The sequence below is a fragment of the Homo sapiens genome, chromosome 13 (assembly GCF_000001405.40).
Source record: "Homo sapiens chromosome 13, GRCh38.p14 Primary Assembly".
Lineage (NCBI taxonomy): Eukaryota > Metazoa > Chordata > Mammalia > Primates > Hominidae > Homo > Homo sapiens.
This window is the reverse complement of record NC_000013.11, coordinates 85,420,900-85,438,047: the sequence shown is the minus strand read 5'-3', so window position 1 is coordinate 85,438,047 and position 17,148 is coordinate 85,420,900. Positions and strand designations below refer to the sequence as shown.

The following is a 17,148-nucleotide window of genomic DNA, read 5'->3' as shown; positions in this document are numbered from 1 at the left end:
AACATTACAAAAAAAGCACACAGAGCACTATTATTGTGTTTTTAATTGCAATGAGCACTTTAGGATTCTGTCTACATTTTCATGTATTGTCTGAAAATGTTGACTCCTCCTTGCTTCCTTGAAATATCATCCTCCTTTAGCTTCCATTACCTTGCACTCCTCTGTTAATTTCTGCTTTTTTGTCAACATAAATGACTTAACCTTTTTTTAGGTTTTCTTATTTTTCTCCCCATTTACATTTAAACTGATGCTTATCCTAGGACCCTTTTACCTACTTTTATTCACTAATGTCATCAATTCAATGAGTTGATTTTCCATTGATAAAATGTGTTTTTGCAGTATTGCTGTTCCATTGTTTGTGGTTGAGTTTAAGCATCTTTTAAAATGTTTTTATATGTTTCCAGTACCTACGAATATGTCATTATAATGTGTCTTTGAAAAGGGAAAGATATAGGGAAGGGCCGATGTGAGAGAGGTCCTTGAAATTGTAAACAAATTAATGTATATAGGGCATCGGCACCATTACATTTTCTTAATGTTTCTGTTGCAGCAAAAAAAAAAACCACACATAATATTTCTTCCTCACAGTTTCTACATCACGGCTACATTTTCAAGTTGTCATTATATATACACACACACACACACACACACACACACATATATATACACACACACACATATATATATACACACATATATATATCCACACATATATATACACACACACACATATATATATATATATTCATCTCTATAGCATTGTGATAAAAGCAGCAGTGGAAGTAAAAAGAATGCAGATATTCCTCTCATTCATATTCAGCCACAAACTAGATGTGTGACTTTGGTTAGTTAATTTAACCTTGTGAGTTTCTCTTTAAAAGAAGGACTTAGGACCACATGCTCACTAAGGTAGTTTTAGTCTTACAAATATTTTGACTCACTGATCCTTAATACTTTTACATTTGTTTTTTGAGCAGAGGTGGCTCCAGTTTACTTTATGATTCTTCATATTTACATTAACCCCTCAGAGGTGCTGAAGAGCTTCTAAGGGTTGGCAAAGAAATGTGGATACAGGTCCCAGAGTCCATTAGCCTCAACTGTATAGGCTTATTCTCAGGTGCAAGTTTGTATCCAAACATTTTATTATCTCCTCTTTTACTGTCACCTGCCAGGATGCTTTGGGGGTCATTAGCATAATTTAAACTGCTTTAACTGACAATCTAAATGTTGTTCCACTTCATCTCTTCACTCTAATGTATAAACGTGCACATCTTCTGAGATTAGGCCCAAATCAACTGTAATCAAATTTTATCAAAAGTGTGTTAATTTTAATGTTGCCTTCGAATTCGTATTTTTTGAGAAAATTAAAAGAAGGAAGAAAACCAGCATACTTAAGCACAAAGGCCCAGCATATTTTGAAATATACAGTCAATATTACTTTATCTTGATTAAGTTTCTCAGGATCTTTATCTACACCTCAACAATATAATAATAACAATATTAAGAATCATCAGGTTATTTCTTCACTTTGGGCCATATTTAAAGTACACTTAAAATAATTTCTAAGATTCAGAAGTTTTAAGAAGCAGAATGTATCAGAAGAACTTCTTGTGCTATGTGTTAGGTTAATTTACCTGAATGCGGGCCACCTTGCCCTAAAAGGCAGGGTAAATCACTTGCCAGTCTATTTTAATTTTCATTCTTCTCAATCTTAATTTCTTTTCTTCTATAGCCTGACTCCATTTCTGGAACCAATTAAGCATTTTATATCCCATTTACTAGTACCTGCTTCTTTTCATATAATCTAAATTAACTCAATTCCACTTGACAATCAAGCTTCTAAGAAAAAGCTCAGTTCATCATTATAAAGCTGACCCAAAGGAGTGGGTAAAGAGGCTTTTATATAATAAAACACTGAGCTCTGGCACTCACAACTTTTATTAACTGGCAGATTCTAAAGAGCCTAAGCAAACACATTGGAGAAATTGATTTCCTTGGGAAATATGACTGAATGTCCAAAGTAAAACCCTTTGCTGAATAGTAAGTTGAAAAAGACAGACAATAATACACTTTTATGTATTATCCCTGCCATCATCTTTTCTGCTTTAAAAAAATTATGTAGGAGTCAAGAAGATAACTAAGCACATGAATACGAAATTTAAATGGCATTTCCAAGTAAAGATAACTATATCTAAGTCCAAAAATAAAAGGGCTTGAGAGGTTTTTTTTTTTAATTTTTCTGGTCAATGTTTAGTGCAAAAACTAATACACATGTGCATTCTTTGTGCCCTTATTTTATCTTGGGCTTAAGTCTCTGATAGGGATCATAGTATGGTGGTATATAACATGCTGTTTATTTTTAGTCCTTCTGATGAGGAATTCAACTGCGCTAGTTTTTGTGTTCTTAGTGTTTTGTCTTACACTCAGCTTACTGTGGGACTAAGAAAAAAACTTTGTGATTTTTCCATGACATATGAATACTTGCTTACATTTTACAATTTAGGGTATGTTATATCGACATGTGGTCAGAAAATCCTGATGGGTTGAAAATTTGAGCAGGCTGATGTATGTATGAACTTATATAATCATACAAGAATTTTGCAATAAATTTCAATAGGTAAGAGAAGAATAGTGTATTGTTATCCAAGAAATATATCAAGAATTTGAAGAAGGAAAAGAAAAAAGTCTAAAATTAAGTTAATTTGGCACCAAATTTATTTAGTTCATAAAATTTACCATTGATTTTTCTATTGAAGAAACAATGGCATTATTTTTTATCATAAAAAGTAGCATTCATAAAATAGTCATATATTTGAAGAGGATTAAGAATTCATTCAACATTGTGTTCCTATTTTTAAAAATTTTTTTAGTTAAATAGTTAAAAATAACCTTGATGATGGCTTTGTAGATGATGACTCAGCAATAAGGTACTAATCTAATTATTTGTGTAGTTTCAAATGTCTTGTCATTTCCAGTTATCATTGAAAGTAAATTATCAACAGTTTTATTTACACAAATATGCAATATCTTATTTTTGAGTAATTAAGTTAAATTAAGTATAATTATCCTAAATATGGTAATTTACAGTTTGGAATATTATATCATTAGAAATTGGTTTTTAGGTTATAAATAAACTTTTTCTCTGTTAAGTGTGTGCAGTGCAAAAACCTGAGGATATCAACAGAATAATTTCTAATACTATAGAAAATTAAATAATGGAGTATTAACCTAAAGAGTACTCTGAGTAAATATTAGATTATCACAGTATTATTAATTCTATTTATAGGTTGCCTATTCTGAAATGATAAAAGAAATTCCTGAAAAATCATTTAACTTCAAAGAAAAGCAGATAAGTAGATATAATGACAGCATTCATCATTTAGACTAAGCTTTTTGATCCCTTTAAATTCCCACAACCTCAGAAATAAATGAAAATTGTTTAAAGTTTGGAATATGCCTTGCAATATATGTCACATACAATTGTTCAAGCTGTTTCTCTTTTTTTTTTTTTTGTATATAATCATAGCTACTGGAAACATTTTGAGTTTGATGAGAGCTGGCTACTAGGCCCACAGCTTCCCTATGAATTTACAATAAAAGCTAGTCTCAGAACAAATTCAGGCACGACACAGACATGTATGTATTGAGTATTTATTAGCATACAAATAAAACTTTATTATACTCTCTAGGTTTGAAAAATCTCCATGTCTTTATCTACCACCAATTCCTCATAGAAAGTTGAACCTATACCATAGTGACAATAAACCACAGATTGCATTCTGTCGTCATTTTAGCCAGCATCAGGCAGCCAGAAGTTTTGAGTCCATCCTCATCAAAGAACTATTAGGGAACCAGCCTGGAGAGTCATCCTAGGGTGCATGTTATAGGCTTGGATACAATTTAGTGTCTTGGATGGAGGATCTTTAATGTATATTAGCCAATCTGCATCTGGGATACTTTCAATGTTTCCAATAAGAAACATAAATAATATTCATCATATTAGATAAACACTACTATTTTCTGCTATGACACTGCATTTGACATTTTTTAAATGAGTTAGTAAATAGGTGTTGATAGAGATACTAGTAGCAGAGCCCATTATAGTGGCTGCCTCTAGAGTGTGAACATTCTCGTTGACCAATAGTCAACCATTAACTGTACATCCTTGATTAGACCGTTAGCACTTAAATAGCACACATATAATTGAACACTATATGTACTGAAACACTTTCAAGTAAATTATTATTCTAAGAACTAAGAGTTGATATACTGAAGACAAAAGTTATTAAACTGTGATCCTAGGGAAAATATAACAGCTCTAGAGTGAGGACTCTCCCTTCCTCTTATTTCTCTTGTAAGAATAAAACTATCTTCCTGGCCCACTCAATCTCTATGTCCTTAAGGGTAATGGGTCAACTCATGGCTAATGTGAGAGTAGAAGTGATTATACTTGGGAACATTAACATCAGGCCTAGACTCTAGTCCTTAGTTCTGCTACTTCCCATATGAACTCAAAAAAATTGCCATCTCCTCTATAGCACAATTTTCTTGTCTGCACAATGGGTACCACAACTGAATTACCTCAGAGATTTTTATTTTATTCATTTAATATAATTTATAAATGCTTCATATGTCTCAAGTTTCCCTTATTCGCTAAATATATTCTAAATGAACAAAGAAACACATACAAGATACACAGTAGATGTAATTTAGCAATAGACAGAAACCTGAAGCAAAGTAATGAGAGGAATTATATACGTTTAGAGGGGGAACCATTTTGTAGAGTGATATATAGACAGAAATCTGATGTAAGAACATCCCAGCAGAGGAAAAAGAAGTGCCAAGACCACTTAAAGGCTGTGCCTTGCAATATTCACAAGAAGCCCAATGTGCTGGACTAGAAATAAACAAGATAAAAAGATTTAAGGAGATGAACCTAGAGAAATAAGGAGATGATCCCAGAAGAGTAAAGAGATGGTGAGCCAGATAGGTTTGTGTTAAGAATCAAATGAGGTGATAGCATAGTATAGTTCTTGGCACTACAGTATAGGAAGTGCTGTGTAAGTGTTAGACATTTATTCTTGGAATCACTTCCTTAGAGGGAGAGATTGCCACCTAAAATATGTTGGCTAGGAATATGAACAGGAGTGAATTGTCAGTGGTTTACAGAAGCACCATAAAAACTGAGTGACCGGAGACAAACTTTGTCTAATCTAGGAGTTTGCCAAGGACAGACAACTTTGGAGATGTTATTTCCATTTAGTTTTAAGGCTTTCTATGGTACATATGGTCAATTAGGATTATCAAAAAAATAGTTTTGCTCACCAATGCCACTGTCACTACTATTAAATATCAAAACATCACAGGAATTGAGTAGGCTCCAAATGTTAAAATCGGTGTATCACTAAACGCTGATCTTTTTTAGGTCTTCTAATCATATTTTGCTATTGGATGAATGAAAAGTTATAGCTGCTTAATAATAGCAATATAACCAAGATACTACTAAAAAGGGAGAAAAAATTTTGAATAAATGCAACATCAGTGTGCACTTTTGAATACCATTTTTTATTGACACATAAATAATTTTGGAGTGTTCAAAGTTTACAGATGTCAATAGACATATGGGAATATTCAATATCTTGTTACCACCAAGCACAAAAATTGACTTTTTCTTCATAGCATTGATTTGTTATGGACTTGGAAATAATTACTGAATAATGATCCAGATTAAGTGCTAATAAAAGTCATATATTTATGCATAAAAATTTGTGAGGATATGCACATAAAGTTGTTTTGAATGTAAAATAAATAACAGCTGCATGTACTGGTGTTAGGGGATACTAGGGGTGTCACTTCGCCATCCAGAAACATCTGTTGACAGTGGTGCCTTTGCCCGAGTTTTGCCCAGGCCCACTGGGCCCACTTGGCCTGGCAGGCTGCACTCAGCTCATACTACTGGCCCGGATATCATGCCTGCCAAGGGTGAGCAGAGCAGCAAGAGGTATGTGAGTGAGTGACCATGGGGTCCAGCCACTGCTCACTTCCAGGCGTGCTGGCTACAGTGGGGTGAGCAGCTCCAAGAACCAGCACAGGCATCAGCTCTCTGTGAAGCTGTGGCTGGACCAAGCGTACCACAAGCAGCTTCGACGACTGGCACCAGGGAATGTGGTGGTGCTCGGTAGTGTGGAGATGTCAGGAAACACAGAGCCTCAAAAAGGGTGTCGCAGCCCTGGCTTGAGGTGCTCGTAAGTCTGGGATCCCCAAAGGGCTGCAGCTTTTCTCTCCTGTCATCCACAACATGGTGAGCAAGGGGCATGTTTCAGCCCCGATTGTGTTACAGCTCTTTCAGCCCCACCATTTGGTGGATCCTGAGTTCTTTTCCTGCATTCAGGAAGAATGAGATACGTGGACAAATGGAGGAGGAGAAAGGTGGAGAGGAGCTTTATTGAGTGATAGAACAACTCAGTGGAGACCCACAGTGGGTCGCTCCTCTCCTCAGCTGGTCATTCTGTTGTCTGCTTGAGTCTGGCTGAGTCCATGGCTTTTATGGGCTTCAGAAGAGAGGAAGTGTGTGCTGATTGGTCCATGGGTGGTCATGAGTGAGCCTGGAAAAAGCAACGTAAGTTCCTACTCCCGTCTGAAGAACATGCATCCTGGTCCCCAGGTTTCAGGCCTTCCCTGGCTTGAAGGTGTGGCCTCAAGCCCTCCTCTTTCCACCCAGGAGCCTGTCTGCCTCCTGTCTCTGTTCATAGCACCCACTCTGCTTTGCTGAGGGGCGCCTGCAGAGCAGCACCTGGCTGCCCTCAGCCCCACCGTGGCCTCTCTCCCATGCTCCTCAGTGCCTGAAGTCCAGAGGGGGCTGGTGCATTAGCAGTGCCCCAAGCATATGCACACCTGGCCAGGTTGTACCAGTGCCCAGGCTCGGCCTCAACTCGGCTCCAAGATTGGAGTGGGTGCCAGAAGTGGGGTGGGAGCAGGAACATCTGAGCCTCTGTGGGGAGAGGGGCCTTCCTGGGCTCCTAAGAGTGCAGAGATGCCCAGGACACCATTGGGTGGCTGCAACTGAACCTGGGAAGGTGGGGCCCTTGCCTGCTCCCAGACCCCAAGAACACAGGAATGCCCAGGTCCACAGCCATGGCTAGGGGAGCTGCAGCTGCAGCAGCACCCTTCAGGGTGGGGCTCCTGCCCAAGAGCGCAGGGATGCCCCAGTTGTCAGCCCACCTGGGCCAACTTGTAAGGGGGCAGGGCTTCTGCCTGTTCCCAACTACCCCTGGCTCCATGAAGCATGCAGCCCTGACCGCACCTCCCCAGTGGCAGCTGGCATCATGGCAGCAGCCACTCCAGATGGGCCACTGCTGCCATCACTGGACAAATGATTACACTGTTTAAGGCATTTCATTTCTTGGTAGCCATGAATCTTCCTGTGGCACATAAATACAGATCACTAGATATGCTATATTTCAAAATAGGCACAGTTGGTTCTATTCTCAGGTCTGAAAGTAGTAAAGGAATTTTCCATTAAGACTGGATGTGGTAGATTTTCCTGCACTTTCATTAACCTTGCAGCATTTACTACTTCACCTAATAGCCTTGATGGTTCATAAATAATCCTCAGTTACCTGCTAAGTAAGCTCTTCACCACTTTCAAACTGATTGACATGATTCATGGTAAAAGACTCTCTGACAAAGCAATGCCTAGATGAAATTACTAGACTGCTTTTCACCCATCCCTTTCAGTTTATTTCTTAAAGATGGGCTCAGGAGTTTAAATCAGTAATGTCACAATTAAAATGCCACTCTTTCATAAGAGAATAAAAAGTAGCACATTGAAGAGTTTAGTAAACTGAAATATATTTCTTCATCTAAAAATAAAGTTGTTCTTAAGCATTTAATGCAAGACCAGAAAAAACCTTACAAGTTAAAAACAAACAACATAAGAGATTAGTAAATAGGTAACTATGTTTATTAGAGGTCCCAATTAAGTATGGGTGAGGAGACTAACAAAAAAAAACAATAAATTAAAGCTTGATTCTTTAAAGCTTCATTCTTCTCTCAGAATGAACAGGGTGATTTTCAGATTTTAATACTTTTTTTTTTCTAAAAAATTTAGGCCCTATATATTACATAAAAATAAAAATGTTATAGGCTAGAATTATTGTTTATTTAACATTGTCTTCTACACACAATTTAGTTTTTATTCTACTATTTTTTCTCCTAAGGTTGGATTTAACAGTAAAGCAAGTCTTCTGAGTCTAAACCTACCATCAGGTTTTTATTTACTAATTTAAATTTCTATCTTTCTTTATAGAGAAAGCAAAGCTCCATCTGGCTTGGATAGAGGAACTCTACTTACTTCAAACCTGCACCAACAGAAAATTTTTTTTATTTATTTTAAGGCAATGGTTCCTTTTAATGGGTAAAAGTCACAATATTTGAACTCTAATTGTTAGATCTGATACTGTATTACTTGGGATTCTTTGTGAGAATATTGGATAACAAGGAATAATTAAATTGCACACTTTTAGGGGCCTCAAGAAAAACTGAAACCAGAAACTTACATGTCAGTGATAGCTAAATCCTCTCTTTCTTTTTCTCCCTCTCCACACCGCCTCCCACCATGGGTTCATTTCACGCTCATTTTCTGTTCAAGTCAGAACACATGGCTGCCATCAGTAACCAATCCAATTTTATATTTTACACTTCAACTAAGGGAAGGATTTTTAATCAGTTATTGAGATTTCAAGTCACAGTGTAGAAGCAGTTTGGATGATCTAGTTTTTGTCTGGTAGTCACCTTTGTCAAGGGCCAAAATCATGCCACAGTGGATAGCTTCCCCTGTACCATCTGTGTGGATGGAGGATTTTAAACTAAGGTTAGTGTGGGTACGCTAAGTGGAATACCATGAATATTTACTACAAAGTATGCAGGTACATCCGTTGGCCATTAATTTTGTGTAATTGCATGTGTAAAATGATTTATCTTAATTATTTAATTGTGAACTCCTCAGAAAATTGGTTATCTCTGCTTTCTTAAGTTTATAAATGCTTGAGAACTTAGTTATTACTGTTTTAGTGAGGCTGTCTTAAGATTTTGTTATTTCAATTCTGTGAGTAGTGACAAGAATATAGATATTCCAGAAAAAAAAAAAAACACCTAAAAAAACACTTTCAAGAGCAGATCTTAGTTTCAAACGTGAAGAGACAGAGTGATTCAATAAAAGATTTTTTTCACTCAGTGAAAATTTGTGGACACTATCTAAAAATAACTTTCCAAAGTTGAATAGTTTTTATTCAATTCTTGTTCTGCCACTTAGATGCCATAACTCTGGGCAAACAATACAGTATTTCTATGCCTCAATCATCACATCTGTAAAGTGGTTATAATAAATATCTATCTAGTAGGCATATTATAAAAATAAGTGGATTGTTTCACATGAACAATTTAGAAATGTGCCAGGCACATAATTTATATATATGGTAGCTTTATTATTATTTAGGTGCTGTGTTGGAGGCAGGTTTAATATATATAATGCAAATATTTTTGAAACCACAAATTGATTATAATATTGTATGAAAATAAAGTTACTAGAAACAATTCCTTGCATTGAATGGGAGCTTAAACACCAAGGAGTTCTATCATTTTAAAATTCTTTTTTTTTTTTTTTGAGACGGAGTCTCGCTCTGTCGCCCAGGCTGGAGTGCAGTGGCGGGATCTCGGCTCACTGCAGGCTCCGCCTCCCGGGTTCACGCCATTCTCCTGCCTCAGCCTCCCAAGTAGCTGGGACTACAGGCGCCCGCCACTACGCCCAGCTAATTTTTTGTATTTTTTTTTTTAGTAGAGACGGGGTTTCACCGTTTTAGCCGGGATGGTCTCGATCTCCTGACCTCGTGATCCGCCCGCCTCGGCCTCCCAAAGTGCTGGGATTACAGGCGTGAGCCACCGCGCCCGGCCCATTTTAAAATTCTAAATATTTATTTATATTTGCATTTAAAAGATTTAAAAGAATAATGTTTTTTAAATGTCTTCTGGAATTTGCATATTTCTAAATATTTTACTTAGTTTTTCTCTACAATCAATGTGTTTCTCTTGTGTGATAACAAAGCAAAAAAAAAGATAAGTTATTTTAATGCCTGTGGCAAAACTTTGAGACTATGTATACCAATTTGCTATTGTATTTATTTACCTTCATGGAAATATTTCTTTAAGGTAGTTCTCCATGGTCTACCATTGTTCCTCATACAATATAAACTGGATTTTAAAAGGGAATGAATGAAAGCTGGATAATTCAATACATAAAGTTTATTTATTTATTTATTTATTTCATGTGAATAATGTGAGTAAACTTAGGAATTCTAGATTTTAGTAGAATTCTCTTGAAAGGTCATGGCAAGGTGACCAGCTCCTTAAAAAGGAAGCAATGGTTGGGCCAATAGCCAAGATTTGATTTGTCTCATAGTTACATCATTCAGCAGCAATCCAGTATTTGCAAAACACTTTGATAATTAACTTGGCACACAAAATTGAATAGAAAGAGCCAAACTAGTTTGATCATAACTGTTACTTAGAAGAAACCTTGAAAGATATTCAGATTCCTGGATCTTCCTCTTGACCAAGGGTCAGCAAATATTTTCTGTAAAGTGCCAGACAATCAATATTTTCAGCTTTATGGGCCATATAATTATTTCATTAACACTCCATTCTGCCATTGTAGCAGGAAAGCAGACACAGACAATATGGAAGATAGGTATTTTTGCATTTCAATAAAACCTTACTCACAAAATAAGTGGTAAATACCACAAAATAGGTAGTAAACTGAATTAGCTGGAGTGCTATAGTTTTCCAACCCTGTTCTAGGTCAGCTGAACAGTCTAGGGCCTCTTTCAGTTGAGAGCTTTAACATCAGGATAAACTATATACAAATATGGCAAATCAGTCAAATATATTTGTAAATGTTATACAGTATGAAGATATTATGTTTGTGAGATGTGCAGTTAAAAAGTCTTGACAGACGGCCAGGAGCAGTGGCTCAGGCCTGTAATCCCAGCACTTTGGGAAGTCAAGGCTTGCAGATCACTTGAAGTCAGGAGTTCGAAACCAGCATAGCCAACATGGTGAAATCCCTTCTCTACTAAAAATACAAAAACATTAGCCAGGTGTGGTGGTGGGTGCCTGTAATCCCAGCTGCTTGGGAGGCTGAGACAGGAGAATCACTTGAACCCGGGAGGTGGAGGTTGCAGTGAGCCAAGATCCTGCCACTGCACTCCAGCCTGGGTGACAGAGCAAGACTCCATCTTAAATAAAAAGAAAAAAGGTTAAGAGAGCTTTGTACCATCTTTGAATATGTAAATCTTTATTTATTGTAAAGAATATAAAGCATTTAAGCTCATCAAATGCTATAATGGAAAGGACTGTCACATACACTGTATCTTTTATTTCACGCTAAATGAGTCCCTATAACAATATTAGGCAGTACAATTAAGCTTAAAGGCCATTCTATATTTCTGGTTTTTCTTGAAAAACCTGAAATATTTGGCATCCCTTATGTTGTATTTTCAAAAGCCAAGTTTAGCTGTCACTAAATAGTAGATTCCTCTTTTTAGTCAAAGAATGTCTTCTGTGATTTACACCATCCCCATCTGGCATATTAAACTCACTTGGGTAATCTGAATTTCCTGATAGGTATTTAATTTTGAACACTTGTATATACTTCACTCATTAAAAAGAGACTAGAAGATCCAAATGGGATTTCTTTAGGAGAAATATAAATTGCCAGCTAATAGGCAGAAAGATTTAAAGATTACCAACCATACAATCCATTTCCAGAAAGTACCTATTTATCAATTCAGACTGATTATACAGCAGCATAATTGGAGTTTTTAATGTATGCAAGCTAAATATTACATTTTCCCATTACCCATATTCCAGAGTAATTTGATAAAGTCTAAAATAAAACAAAACTGAACCAAACACTTTCCCAGGGCAGGTTAAATAAACTCCGCATTAAAACTGTGTGACTTTAAAAATCCCTTATGTCCCTTTAGACGTGCTGTATTTCTCACTGAAACTAATGAATAAGATTAACTTTGAAGACATTTTCAGCATCTCTTATGATATCACAATTTTAGGGTAAAAATGAGTGTAAAGAAGCTGTTTGAGCTCCTAGGCCATGAAGCACAACCCTCAAAATATAAAGTAATGGAGTTGTAATCAAATGTCTATACATGAAAATAATCTTTTTTACATTTCACTTGATTTTCTCAGATTTTCCCTCAATACCAATGTGATATTTTAAGTTTTGCACTGCAATCTTGTTGAAAATTTCATTTCCTCATATCTACTTACTTAATTAACAATGCATCCTTTTACTTAAAAGAAAAATTTGAGAAAATGCTAATATATTTATTCTGTTAATATGTTTCCTAAACATCAGAAAAAAAATGTTTGTTAGGCACACACTTTTCTCTAAGATGCAGAGATTTAGCATCTACTTTTAGAGGTCAGTGCTGTGGCATTTTTCTTCTGACCACCTAATTTTTCAACACAAATTCATAGGCAGCTTATACCTGTCTGTATTTATTACAAAGTTCTGTTTCCTTCCACAGTGAGGATTCTCTTCAGTGCCTCTCCAGAGATCTAATCAAATATGTAGACCAAACTCATCTCCATGGCTTAGTTTTATGTACAAATATATTAGGATGCTGCTTATATGGTGTAATTTACTTTACGTCATCCATGATGTTCCTCAGTCCCAAATTAAAATTCCAGCATTAGACATCCATTCATTTAAAGTTAAGAATATTTCTTTGGCTTTTTGGGTTTCCTATTTATATGCAACTGTACTCGAAAGGATACTAAGTTTTCTACCCTGTAACAATTTAGTAAATAGTCTGAGAGAACTTCTTTGAAATTATGATGATTAGCCAAACTTGGCGTCTTTTTGTGCATCAAAGAGGCTAGTTTCAGTGGAAGGAGAAATTAAGTAGAACTGGAAAGTCTATGTTTCTTTCTGAGACACACATAGATAAAATTGAGCAAAGAAAAACTAAGGGAAACCTGGGGCTAAGATGAGCAAATTAGACAGCACAAAAATAGAATGTAAAATTAGACTCCAGTAATTGGGGCTGTGTCTAGTTACTCAGAAGGCTGATCAAAAGCTTTCTTGTTTCCACCCCCTCTTTTCTTATTTGTGGCTCTTATTTTTCTTTTTTTTTTTTCTACACATATGGTTTACAAACAAAGCACATAAATATTTTCTCTGACCTCTTACTTTTCTCTTAACTCTTCTAGCTCTTAGAACTTGCTTTAGATAATCATTCACCTGTTAACTTTTCTCTTGTATTACTTACTGTTTTTCCATAAGTATCAGTTTGGTTTGTCTGATGTTTTAACCTTCTTGGAGACAGAATGAAGTCTTAACTTTATTCTTTCTCTCCTTAAGATACAATATGTTGATTTGCTCAACAAAAGAATTTCATAAATAAAACTTCAGAAAAAAGCAACTACAGATGTGAAATCCAGTTAACCATGCCATTCTGACATTTATTTAAAGACACTGATGATTAAAATTAGGAAATAAATCAACCATTGAGAGTAACTAAAATTTGCCTAAAGTTTACCATGTCCAAAGTCCTGTTCTAAGTCAGTAACATATATTATCTTATTTCTTCTTTAAGGGATCCTATATGACAGGTAAAATAATCATTCGCATTTGCTAGATGAGGAATTGAGGCACATAGTGTTCAGAGGATTTGAGTAATTCACACAACTGGGTTTGAACACAGGTAATCATGTTCTAATGTCCTTTCTCTTCAGGATGACAAAATTATGCCTCTATGTAAAGAGAATATGTCAATACAGTCTAAAGAATACGCTCAACGGAATTTACAAATCCTTACAGAAAAATTGAATCAGAGCATACAAACAGTCCTAAACCTCCCATCTGGGGAGCCCTGGAGATAATACAAATGTAGGCCAATGTGTTACTAGCTAATATTTAGCAGTTATAAATCAAGAGAAGAAATTGCTAAAGAAAACTGGTTCTAGCCTAGTACTTTAACAGATATGCCCTTTAATGAAATGGAAAGTTAGATTCAAATTTAGAATTCTCAAATTTATGTTTATCAAATTTGCATTTATGAATTATGTGGCTTGGGGATGGCCACCCGGCCCCTCACCTGAGACTCATCCTTTTACTCACCCCTACATCGTGGCTCTGTTTATCAATACAGGAAGACTCTTCTAAACCTGGGTGATTATCTCAGCTTGTATATATTTGCTGTGACCATAACCCCCTTAAAGTGCTGCACCTTAATCAACACTTAGAGTTTCACAGGCTAAAAGGTATTATATGGAAGATGGACATAGGGAAGAAACACTTGTAGGTCCTAAAGTTGGCCTATGGTGATTGGGTAGAAGATGCCACGCCAGGAATGTGTCCTGGAAGGGAGATCAAGGGTTCCAGGGGTCCATTCTCTTGGTCCATGGCTACTCCCAATCCACGTGGGTGTGTTCGGTTTAACGCACATCAGAGCCAGTCCTGTCATTTGATTCTAATAGTAATGTTGTACAAACAGTTTAGAGAAAATATATTCATGAAATTGAGAGACAATGGCCAGTAGAACTCAAGAGTAACATTCAAAATAGTATTAAGTAAAATATGGTAACTATCAAAAGACTTTGGCAGAAATATAGTGAAAGAATCTACTATTGAAATAATTCCTTGGCAAGAATGGCAAAAGTTATAAAAGAAGTGATTATCTGAGATAAAAATGTAAAGAGAAAAAGGTGGATATCCAGGTGAGTATGAAAAATAGGAAATATGGAATCTCCCAGAAATGACCTGTTTTCACATTATTTCTGGGGCAAATAAAAAATATTTCAACAATATGAAACTTTAAAGTGAAAAAGGAGAGGCCCAATCAACCTGTATAACCCAAGTATTCCCATAAAGTCACATTGATATAGCAGCTTCATTGATAAAGAATGGAACTGATTTCTTCTGGGTGCCTATAACTGCTGGGGGCTGAAAACAAGGCCAACCTTAGGAAAGAATGAAAAACCAACCTTGATAAAGATGCTTTTATATGGGATCTGGTCATTGTAGTATTCAGTGAAATTCCAGGACATATGGAGGCTGGGCTATCTAGAAATATTTTAATTGAAATTTTATTTACTTATGTGGTAAATAAAATAAATACATAATTTTAGAAAGTATTAGGTTTTGTTTATTAAAATTAAAAATTTTAAATACATAAAATAAATACTTAAATAAAACTTTATTACAAGCCTGCCCTATTTTGTGCAGTACTGTTTTCATAATTTATTTAAACACACAGGAGAACTCTGTGAAGTATGTATTTATTTTGTTTCTTTTATAGACAAAATGATTAAACTGTAAAATCTCATGTTTTAAGTCACTTACTAGAAGTTTCAAGGACCTCAATGTCCTGTGAGCGTTCTATAAGGTACATTGCCTCCAAAGACAAGAACATAAGCACAGTGGAGAAGGTAACTGTGCTTTACAGATGAAAGTCCCTTGTAGGAGACTTTGTTGCTATCTGAGTCTTCAAAACATTCATAACCTTTGGATATATTTATATAAGGAGTGATATCTAGAAATGTGTAGCTCTCAAGAGAAGCTAACCAACTTTGAAAATGGATAACAGAAAGAAATTACAAGCCTAAAGAAACCTAAATTATCGAATGTGTTTTAATCTGTTGGATTAAGCACTTGCCCTATCTCAAGTCTTGTTATAGTAGATGATAAACCTCCATAGAAGTTGTCACTAATATTTGTGTCTGTTATTTGCTGCCAGAAACATGCTAATTCAAATAAAATGTAATATACAGTTCTATCCCATGTAAAAATTTATAACCGATTAAAGTCACACAATTGAATGTAAGAGCAATAAGAGCTTAGACTTGTAAATGACTACAAATACCAAGTGGTTTAATATTGTTCCAAATTCAGACATGATATTTACAATGGATGATAGAGTGCAGAGCCAATCATGAATTTGAAAATATGTAGGATATTGATTTAAGTTTTTTGAGTAATTTTAACTTATGATATACAAATGTTAGACATAGCCTCTCTCTATATAGTGAATAACACAGTGCAAATAAAGTTGCAATTAAGTGAAGTTTTAGAAAAGCCCTTCTGGCCGGGTGCGATGGCTCAGGCCTATAATCCCAGCACTTTAGGAGGCCGAGGTGGGCGGATCACCTGAGGTCAGGAGTTCAAGACCAGCCTGGCCAAAATGGTGAAACCCCATGTCTACTAAAAATACGGAAAATTAGCTGGGCTTAGTGGCAGGCACCTGTAATCCCAGCTACTCAGGAGGCTGAGGCAAGAGAATCGCTTGAACTTGGGAGGCAGAAGTTATAGTGAGCCGAGATCATGCCATTGCACTCCAGCCTGGGCAACAAGAGTGAAACTCCATCTCAAAACAAACAAAGAAAAACCCCTTCTGTATACTATTTACTAGTCTTTCGATATTATAAATTCCACAACAGGCTATGTTAGAATGAATAATATTTCTTTTTAATAGTGCCAATTACGCTTATCTAAACTGCAAGAGTTTTAACAGCATTGATAAAATGTGGGATCGACCACATCCATTATCCAATCAGACAGTAAGCTTGGCTATATAAATCAAGATAGAAGTTTGTTTTCATCACTCTGGAGGGATGAGACTAAAAGATTAAGACTGCTAAGAAGGCTAAACATAGCTGAATCCTATATTTCGATCAGTGGTGATGAAAATTGTAAATTTTCAATAGCCTGAAAAGATAAAATCACTAATTCTTATTTATTTTACTGTTAAATTATTATTTGAAGATAAATATGGTTTGAAGACCAGTATCCTATCAAATACAATTTTGTGGTTTTACAAAAGACTATAAACAAACAAATATTAACATGGTAGATTAAATTTAGTTTCATTTAAAATAGCTGAATTGTGGTATTTAGATTGATGTGTGTATAAGTTTTTGTACATGTATATATTAATATTCCAGTGTGTGCTGGTTCACTTTTATAGTTTTAGATATGTGTGTGTGCATGCGGGTATTTCATCCATTAATAACTTCTGAAAATCCCATATAATTAACCTACAGTTCACCCAGATATGTACTCGATAATTCTCT

General features: G+C 35.7%; 1 long non-coding RNA gene across 1 annotated transcript in view, besides 1 other annotated feature; it reads right to left on the bottom strand.

Annotated features, from left to right (window-relative positions):
* Nucleotides 1-17,148, bottom strand: part of LINC00351 (long intergenic non-protein coding RNA 351) — a 181,060-nt gene that overhangs the window by 106,615 nt on the left and 57,297 nt on the right. The gene's annotated exons all lie outside the window — the stretch shown is intronic.
* Nucleotides 5,490-5,990: an enhancer, noted in NCBI's record as "H3K4me1 hESC enhancer chr13:86006193-86006693 (GRCh37/hg19 assembly coordinates)". NCBI's record gives its function as "activates a minimal SCP1, AML or CMV promoter by ChIP-STARR-seq in naive H9 embryonic stem cells {active_cell/tissue: H9 hESC(naive)}" and the evidence as "EXISTENCE:reporter gene assay evidence [ECO:0000049][PMID:30033119]".